At 41.3% G+C, this 9,165-nt stretch overlaps 1 pseudogene; it reads left to right on the top strand.

Moving 5' to 3' along the window:
* BMS1P16 (BMS1 pseudogene 16) lies at positions 207–7,259 on the top strand (annotated as a pseudogene).

Consider the following 9,165-nt stretch of genomic DNA (forward strand, 5'->3'; position numbering starts at 1 on the left):
GGTCCATTTAGTTTACCTAAACAGATGATGAAATACTAACCGTTTTATGAAGCATTCCCTAGTGCAAAGTTTTGCCTGTGTGTCTAGTGACGGGAGCAGTGAGAATGAGGCTTGGAACACGGAGCGCATTGTGGGCCTGTCGTGGGTGGGGCCAGCAGCACATGCATGCCAGGCTCACAGAGCAGCCTTTGGGTGTTCTTTTCCCAGAGGAGCTCTATGGTGACTTTGAAGACTTGGAAACAGGGGACGTGCACAAGGGAAAATCGGGCCCCGATACTCAGGTATGTCTTTGTTGTAGCTGGCTGTTCTTGGTCATTGTGTTCTGAGAGAGGCCCATATTGAGAAATGCAAATCTTACTTGTGATGTGTGAAGATTGCAGATGGGATGGATAGATTCCTTCCTAAAGGGTGGGGATGTGGAGACCAAAGAGAAGCTTTCTTGTTTACTTGTTAAGTTTTGGACGACAGTTACTACCGTTTCTTGCCATAGTCATTTGCCAAGTCCACTGTGATTTTTCACTCACAGAAGTCTTAGCTTCTCAGACTTACATTCAACCATTGCCATCATTCTCCTCTTTTTAAATTTAAGTGTCATTTAAAAGAATGAAGTCCCTGTTCTCCCTAATATTTCTTTAGAACAGGGTCTGGGAGCATCTGGGTGAGGGACATATCTGTTATTTTTATTCTAGTTTGTGTTCCCAGCCAGCTTAAGGAATAGCAGCTAATTGTAATGCAGATGTAACAATTTCATGTAGCAGTACCATGTTATTCAGAGACCAAGGTTATGTTGTGTTTTGTTTTGTTTTATTGATAACGATAACAGATTTTTGCTAAGATTTTTGTTTAAATAGAACTTTAAAAAATCTAATGTTTAAAGAAAAGACCTTCATAAACATACACAAAATTTTTTCTTCTGGAAATTTAAGAATGAAGATATAGAGAAACAAGAAAGAAATTGACCCTGATGAAGAAGAAAGTGCCAAGAAAAAGCATTTGGATAAGAAGAGAAAATTGAAGGAGATGTTTGATGTGGAATATGATGAAGGAGAAAGCACATATTTTGATGATCTTAAAGGAGAAATGCAGAAACAAGCACAGGTGAGAAACCTCAGTTCCTCTTAGCCCCTTGTCAAGACTATCACATAGTGCAGGAATCCCTGACTTTCTTTGGGTCCCTGCTTCCTATCCTGCTTCTGTGCCTTTCAGTTGGACTCCTGGGTAGATGCATGTGAGTGTGTTTATTCATGCAGTGAGCTCATTGTTTCTACAGTCAGAAGGTCACCAGAAAAAGATCCATACCTATTTTGTAACAAGAATTAGGAAACCGAAATGACTGAGACATGGTCTCTACTTTTGAGACTTTTACAATGTAGTGATCTAAGACAGTGTGTTCATTTCAGTGCAAGCCAATGCTGCCTATTCTGATCGCTGCTCCCTGATTTGAATGGCAGGTGATCAGTGGCCTGTGTGGCTTATGGACACACAAGAGCTCCCAGGGGAAGTGCTCTCAAAACATCCTGGTCAGAGTTCAGAAGGACATGTGGAGTATAAGGTCAGATGCGGAGATAAGGGAGATGGTGTGGCCCTCCTGCCTGGGGGTGCTGAGCAGGTTGCTGGAGGCGGTGATCTGACTCTGAAGGAGACAGACACAGAAACGTGTGTACAGTTGATGGTGAGCATCTGAGTTGCGTCTTGTTAGTGAGGCCAGGAGTGCCTGTGTAAGCTGGAACAGATTAGGTGTATGATTTGTGAAACGGAGTTTCATCCTAGGTCTTCATCTAGTCAAAGGACTGTTTCCTGATTAGGCATTAGCTTAGTGGTTGCTAGTCTGTGTTGACCTTTGAAAGGCATGACTAGGCTAACTCTGAAGTTTTTGCTTCACACCATTTACAATTTAAAATTACCTAGAGCCTTGTGTGCCATTGGAAAAGACTGAATGTTTCACTCTGAAATGGGAGTCCTTGGAGGGTTTTGAGCAGAGGAGAGACATTCAGGTAATCAGATCACTCTGCCAAGAGATCAGTCTGGTAGAGATCAGTCCGGTGGCACAAACCAGAGGGCTGGCAGTGGAGATGAGACAAAGAGTCAAACCTGGATAGAGTTTATTTGGAAGCTGGGTCAGTAGGATTTCCTGGTGGACTGAATGTGGGATGTGTGAGAGGAAATGAGGATGGCGGCTGGAAATTCCTGGAAGGATGGGTTGTTGCAGGTTAGATAGGAAACTGTCTGCAGATGCAGTTTTGGGAAGATGATGTTTGGTTTGGCTGGGTATCATGCAGACAAGCGGAGCGTCAAGTCTGGAGAGACAGGTCTGGCCAGGGACTTAGATGTACAGCCGTCAGCATGTAGATGCCACTTAACTCTGTGAGGTGGCCAGGGAGTGAGTGCAGAGTGACTGGGAGGAGCAAGACTGGCATGGGCGAGATGGGGCGATTGCGGCTGTGAGGCCTGAGCAGTGCCGAGGAGGGAGAGGGAGAAGCAGTGTGAGCATGCAGGCACGCAGGAGTCCAGTTGTACATGGAGGCGAAGCACTGTTCAGATCCCGCTGCAGTGTTAACTACGGTAAAGGCAGAGTTGACCACTGGAGGAGTCCTTCAGCGTGGAGGCCTTCAGCAATCTTGGCAAGCACCAATTTTCATGGATGTAGGAGAATGGGAGCAGAGGAACTGGAGGCTGCAACTGCGGAAAACTTTTGTGGGGTTTTGCTGCAGAGAGAAGCAGAGAAATGAAGCAGTTTTTGGTGGAAGAAGTGGAATCAAAAGGTTTTGAGATAAGAGAGAGAACAGAGGGAAGAGCTGTTGGAATAAAATCCAGGAAGAGTGGATGGTGTCTAGTGAGCAAGTGATGTGTGGCCCGGAGTAAAGGCATGGACAAATCATCTGTGCCTGAGCTGCCCGTAGAACTTTCTGTGATCATGGAGATGCACGTCTGTGCTTCCCAATATTGTAACACTGGCCGCAGGTTGATATGGACCACTTCCAGTGTGACTAGTGTGATTGAGGAACTGCATTTTTAATATTATGTAATTGTAATTAATTTTAATTTAAATAGCCACACATAGCTCCTCTATGGGCCAGGTCAGAGCTCTGATAAGGCTGGATATGGGAGGAAACCCTGGTAGAGGGTTGACCATAGAGGTTCTTTTGGTTTTGGAGTGAATCAGGAAACAGCCATCAGCTGAGTGAAGGTGAGGGTGGTGGTGGGTGTTTGAAGACAAGAGAAAAGTGTGAAAGAATTGTTTGGAGAGGAAGGAAAGAAGGTGTGGACTGGGGATGTTTCCAATGTTTGAGCACGCAGGGCTCCACAGTTATCTACATTTGCTGTCCCTTGGAGCAGGAGAGAAGAAAACGGTTGGGACATATTCTGAGCAGACTGTAGAGGTAAAATGTGTAGGTTTTTTTTGTTTTTTTTTGTTTTTTGAGATGGAATCTCGCTCTATTGCCCAGGCTGGAGTGCAGTGGCACGATCTTGACTCACTGCAACCTCCGTCTCCCAGGTTCAAGCGATTCTCTCACCTCTGCCTCCTGAGTAGTTGGGACTATAGGCAGGCACCACCACACCCAGCTGATTTTGGTATTTTTAGTAGAGACGGGGTTTCACCATGTTGGCGAGGCTGGTTTTAAACTCCTGACCTCATGTGATCTGCCCGCCTCGGCCTCCCAAAGTGCTGGGATTACAGGCATGAGCCACTGTACCCGGCCAAATGTGTAGTATTTTTAATAGGATAAAGCCTACATAATTTTGTCCACAGTTCCTTTATTTAGAAATTGCTCATTTGTTCATGTTAATCCTATGTTTATTACAGATAACAGCATACAGGTTCCCCGCCCCCCGCCCCGTCATGTACAGCTGAATCATGCAGAATTTGAAGATCAAGATGATGAAGCCAGAGTTCAGTATGAGGGTTTTCGACCTGGGATGTACGTCCGCGTTGAGATTGAAAATGTTCCCTGTGAATTTGTGCAGAACATTGACCCCCATTACCCCATTATCCTGGGTGGCTTGGGCAACAGCGAGGGAAATGTTGGATACGTGGAGGTGGGTCCTTTTGCTGCATATTTGGTGCCTGAGGCTCTGTGGATTTCCCCTCCATCAATCATCTTACCCTCTCATCCCCCTCAGATGCATCTGAAGAAACATCGCTGGTATAAGAAAATCCTCAAGTCCCGAGATCCAATCATATTTTCTGTAGGGTGGAGGAGGTTTCAGACCATCCCGCTCTATTATATCGAAGACCACAATGGAAGACAAAGGCTTCTAAAGTATACCCCACAGCACATGCATTGTGGAGCAGCCTTTTGGGGTAAAATATGATTACAATAACTTGCCTATTGCCGAGATTAAACCTTACAGGCTGCGTTATTTTAGCTTTGTGCTTTTCCTTTCATAAAATTCCACTCCTAAGATTTTTCTCTTTTCTGGGAGCGGGGAGGTGGTTTGGAGTATATATGTAAATCTATATCCAAATCTAAATGTCCATATCCAGTATGTTAAACTAGAATCTAAAGTTTGTGGTTTGCTATATTTCTTTTTTTCCTTTTCCTTTAAGACCCTATCACTCCACAGGGAACTGGTTTCTTGGCAATACAGTCTGTCAGTGGCATAATGGTAACTATCTTGGATGATTTCTTTTACAGATTGGTTTGAGAAATATATCCTGAATGTGGGTTATTATGTACATGAGACTTTAAGTTGAAAATTACTCATTTTTATTAATATAAAGTAAATTTCCCTTTGCTTTTAATCTTCGTACATCCTTTTCAGTAGGGTGTGGGATTAGAGGAGGGGAGGTGGAAGAATTATAATGGTACATTTCCTATTTTTGTGCATCTTTTGCATTTATTTATCTAAGCAAGTATTTAAGCAGTGCTCACCATGTGCTAAGCACTATATGAGGTTATGAGGAGCCATCAGAGACCACCCAGACACAAGACTCCCTGCAGCTGTGCTGGGGTAGCAGTCTGTTCACTCCATTTTCATTTGACCAGTCACGCAGGGCAGGGTTTACTGGTCCCATTTAACAGAGAAGAAAGCAGAATAATGAGCAGATGGAATCTTCCCTGGAGGTCCAAATTTTAATTTCCTAAACATTGCAACTGTATTTTTCTTTTCCATTTCGTTCCAAATAAATCATTATAGTAAAATTACATTCCTCTGAAATCACTCTCAGGAAAGTACTCAAGTAGCCTTTTTTTTTCTTTCTTTTTTTTTTTTTTTTTTGAGACAGAGTCGCACTCTGTCATCCAGGCTGGAGTGCAGTGGCACGATCTTGGCTCGCTGCAACCTCTGCCTCCTGGGTTTAAGCGGTTCTCCTGCCTCAGCCTCCCAAGTAGCTGGGATTATAGATATGAGCCACTGTGCCCAGCCTCAAGTCACCCTTGTTAGTTTGGCTTACCAACTTTAAAGTTTTGGATTGCTTTTGTCAAACCACTGGGTTGCAAGTTCAGATGGTCTCTCTTGTTTTTCTTAGCTAATTGTAAGTAAAATTCACTTTGGTAATTTATTGTGTCACATAGAATTGAAGTTTTTCTTTTGCTAATATTATTCCTATTTTCAAATTTTGGGGTTCCTGTTAGCCTGATTTTCGGATAGCTGCCACAGGAGTTGTCCTTGATCTGGATAAATCCATAAAAATTGTGAAGAAATTAAAGCTAACTGGTTTTCCACTTCATTTATTAAGGTCTGTATATCTATATATTCTCATATTTATAAATCTCCATATTGTTTGAGAAAAGGAATGAAATACCTCTAAAATATGGGCCTCATTTTTAGAAAAGTGTTTGAAATCTTTTATAAACTTCATATTTTGTTTGCTCCTTTATATTCTGTATTACTTAAATATGCTCAAAAAAGCAGTGGTAAACAGCTATTTAGGAATTGAGGCTGTTACTCCTGACTTCCATGTGAGACTGCCACAGAACTCATATTGAAAATATGTCATTTTATCCACTAGGTTTTGTTTCCTACTTTTTAAATTTGTGTTAAGAAAGGGAAAAAAATCACAAGTTTGTCTAACTCGGTAGAAAAATCGACAAAGCATTTGCAGACAACTTGGCAAGGGTACAGAGAAACGGACGTACTGTTTTTCAGTATTTGGGGAGGGTGGTTTGAGCAGCATTTATTGACAATTTCATTAGTGGGGATGTTTCTATTGAAAACACAGAGTTAGGAAGTCATAAAATGTTCTTGCAATATAAGGTAATAATACCACCAGCATTTATCTTACTGTTTTCATGTTCTAAGTGCATGCATCTGAGTAAAAGGATCTGGGCTGCAGTCCAGTCTGAGAGATGCCAGCAAAGGCTTCCTAGGCCAATTCAGTCCAGTAAATCCCTCTTCGATCTTCTCTTCCACACAGACAGCAGTGATGAGCATGCCCATGAACTCACATGATTATTTTGGGGAAAATGAAAGAGTTGTATTCTTTTTGAGGTAGTAATTCCACTTTCAGGGGCAAATACATTTTGATTATTTTATCACCCTTCAGTGAGTTGTTTTTGTTCTTTAATCAAGGATGTATGTTTGAAGTAAGAAGTAAAGCATAAAGTATATGATTTTGTGTGTGTGTGTTTTTTTATCTTGCTACACCTGTAGGGAATGTTTAATTCTGCCTTGGACGTGGCCAAATTTGAAGGTGCTGTGATTTGAACTGTCATTGGGATAAGGGGGCAGATCAAGAAAGCACTCTGAGCTCCAGAAGGAGCTTTCTGGGCCAGCTTTGAGGATAAGCTGCTGATGAGCGGTGAATGTCTTAAGTAGTATTCAGGGCAGGGTGTTACCATTCATGCTTGACTTCTAGCCAGTGTGATGAGAGGCTGGAGTCAGGTCTCCAGAGAGTTGAGCAGCTCCAGCCTTAGATCTCCCAGTCTTATGCGGTGTGCCCATTCGCTTGTGTCTTCAGCCCCCTGGCCACACCCAGTAACAGTTCTGTGATCTATGAGAATAGTTCCCTTAGCGACCTTTCCCTTCAAATACTTTGCAGCCAGGTAGAGAAGTTTGGAGTGAAGGTTTTGTTCTTTGTTTCTTCGCAATATGGATATGAATCTTCTTTTGAAAATGTTAAAGTAAATTACCTCTTTTCAGATATTGTCTTCATGCGAACTTGGTATCCTGTTTCCATCCCAGCCTTCTATAACCCAGTAGCATCTTTGTTGAAACCAGTGGGTGAGAAAGACACCTGGTCAGGAATGCGGACCACGGGCCAACTCAGGCTCGCCCATGGTGTCAGACTAAAGGCAAACAAGGACTCTCTGTATAAGGTACTGGTCGTGTGTGTGTTAGTAGAGATGAAGCCTGTGCTCTACAGACAGGGAGTCACACAGACACTTTTCTATAATTTCTTACGTACTTTGAATGTTCAAGTATAAAGTCTAACGTTAAATTTGATTGAACAATTGTATATTTTTGGGATATTTTGGAATGGAACACCAAAAAATGGTAATAGTGGTTCTTTCTGGATTGAAGACAAACTTTTCCTTTTTAAAATAAATTTTATTTTATGTATTTGAGGTTGACAATATGATCTTAAAGGATACATATAGATAGTAAACTGGTTACTATAGTGAAGCAAATTAACATAGCTACCATCTCACATAGTTAGATTTTTGTTTGTGTGACAGGAACAGCTAAAATCTACTTATTTAACAAAAATCCCAAAGACAATATATTTTTATTAACTATAGCCCTCATGATGTACACTAGATCTCTAACTTGTTCATCCTACATGTCTGCTACTTTGTATTATTTTAATGTACATCTCCCCATTTCCTACTGGTCATTTCCTATTTGGCCCATTTTTCAACTGGGTTGTTTTTCTGCTATTAAGTTGTAAGAGTTCTTTACTGATTTTTGGATATTAACACTTTATCAGATATGTGGTTTGCAAATATTTCTTCCAGTCTGTAGGTTCCCCTTTCATTTTGTTGGTTGTTCCTTTGCTGTGCAGAAGCTTTTTAGTTTGATGCAGTCCTCCTTGTTTATGTTTACATTTGTAGCCTGGCTTGTGGTGCGATATCCAAAAAATTATTGCTAAGGCCAATGTCAAGAGGCTTTCCCCCTATGTTTTCTTCTAGGAGTTTTATGGTTTCAGGTCTTATTTGGGTCTTTGGTCTTGTATCTGTTTTGAGTTGATTTTTGTGTATGGTGTATGATCAGGGTCCAGTTTTATTCTTTTGCATGTGAAAATCCTATTATTGAAGAGACTATCTTTTTTACCATTGTGTTGTCTTGTTTGCCCTTGTCAAAAATTAGTTGACAGTATATGTTTGGATTTATTTCAAAGGTCTCTGTTCTGTTCCATTGGTCTATTTTTTTGTTTTTGTGCCAGCACCATACTGTTTTGATTACTGTAGCTTTGTAATACAATTTTAAATCAAGAGGTGTGATGCCTCCAACTTTTTCTTTCACAGTAATCTGTTGGCTGTTTGGGGTTTTTTGTGGTTCCATATGAGTTTCAGGATTGTTTTTTCTTTTCTTTTTTTTTTTTTTTTTTGAGGCAAAGTCTCACTCTGTCGCCCAAGCTGGAGTGCAGTGGCATAATCTCGGCTCACTGAAACCTCTGCCTCCTGGATTCAAGCAATTCTTCTGCCTCAGCCTCCCAGGTAGCTGGGACTACAGGCACATGCCACTATGCCTGGCCAGTTTTTGTAGTTTTAGTAGAGACAGGGTTTCACTATGTTGGCCGGGCTGGTCTCCAACTCCTGACCTCGTGATCCGCCCGCTGCGGTCTCCCAAAGTGCTGGAATTACAGGCATGAGCCACTGTGCCTGGCCAGGATTGTTTTATTCTGTTCTGTGAAGAATGCCATCAGAACTTTGATGAGGATTGTGTTAAATCTGTATATTTGCTTTGGGTAGTGTGAACATTTTAACAATATTAAGTCTTCTGATCCATAAACATAGGATGTCTTTTCATTTGTTCATGTCTAAATTTCTTTCATCAATGTTTTATGGTTTTCAAGTGTACACATCTCTCACCTTCTTGGTTAAATTTATTCCTAAGTTTTTGTTTTTCTTTGATGCTATCGTAAATGAGATTATTTTCTTGATTGCTTCGTCAGCTAGGTTATTTGTATATAGAAATGCAACTGATTTTTATATGTTGAGTTTATACCTTGCAGCTTAACTGAATTGATTTAGTAGTTCTCACAGTTTTTTGTGGAATCTT

Source organism: Homo sapiens, chromosome 15, assembly GCF_000001405.40.
Source record: "Homo sapiens chromosome 15, GRCh38.p14 Primary Assembly".
Taxonomy (NCBI): domain Eukaryota; kingdom Metazoa; phylum Chordata; class Mammalia; order Primates; family Hominidae; genus Homo; species Homo sapiens.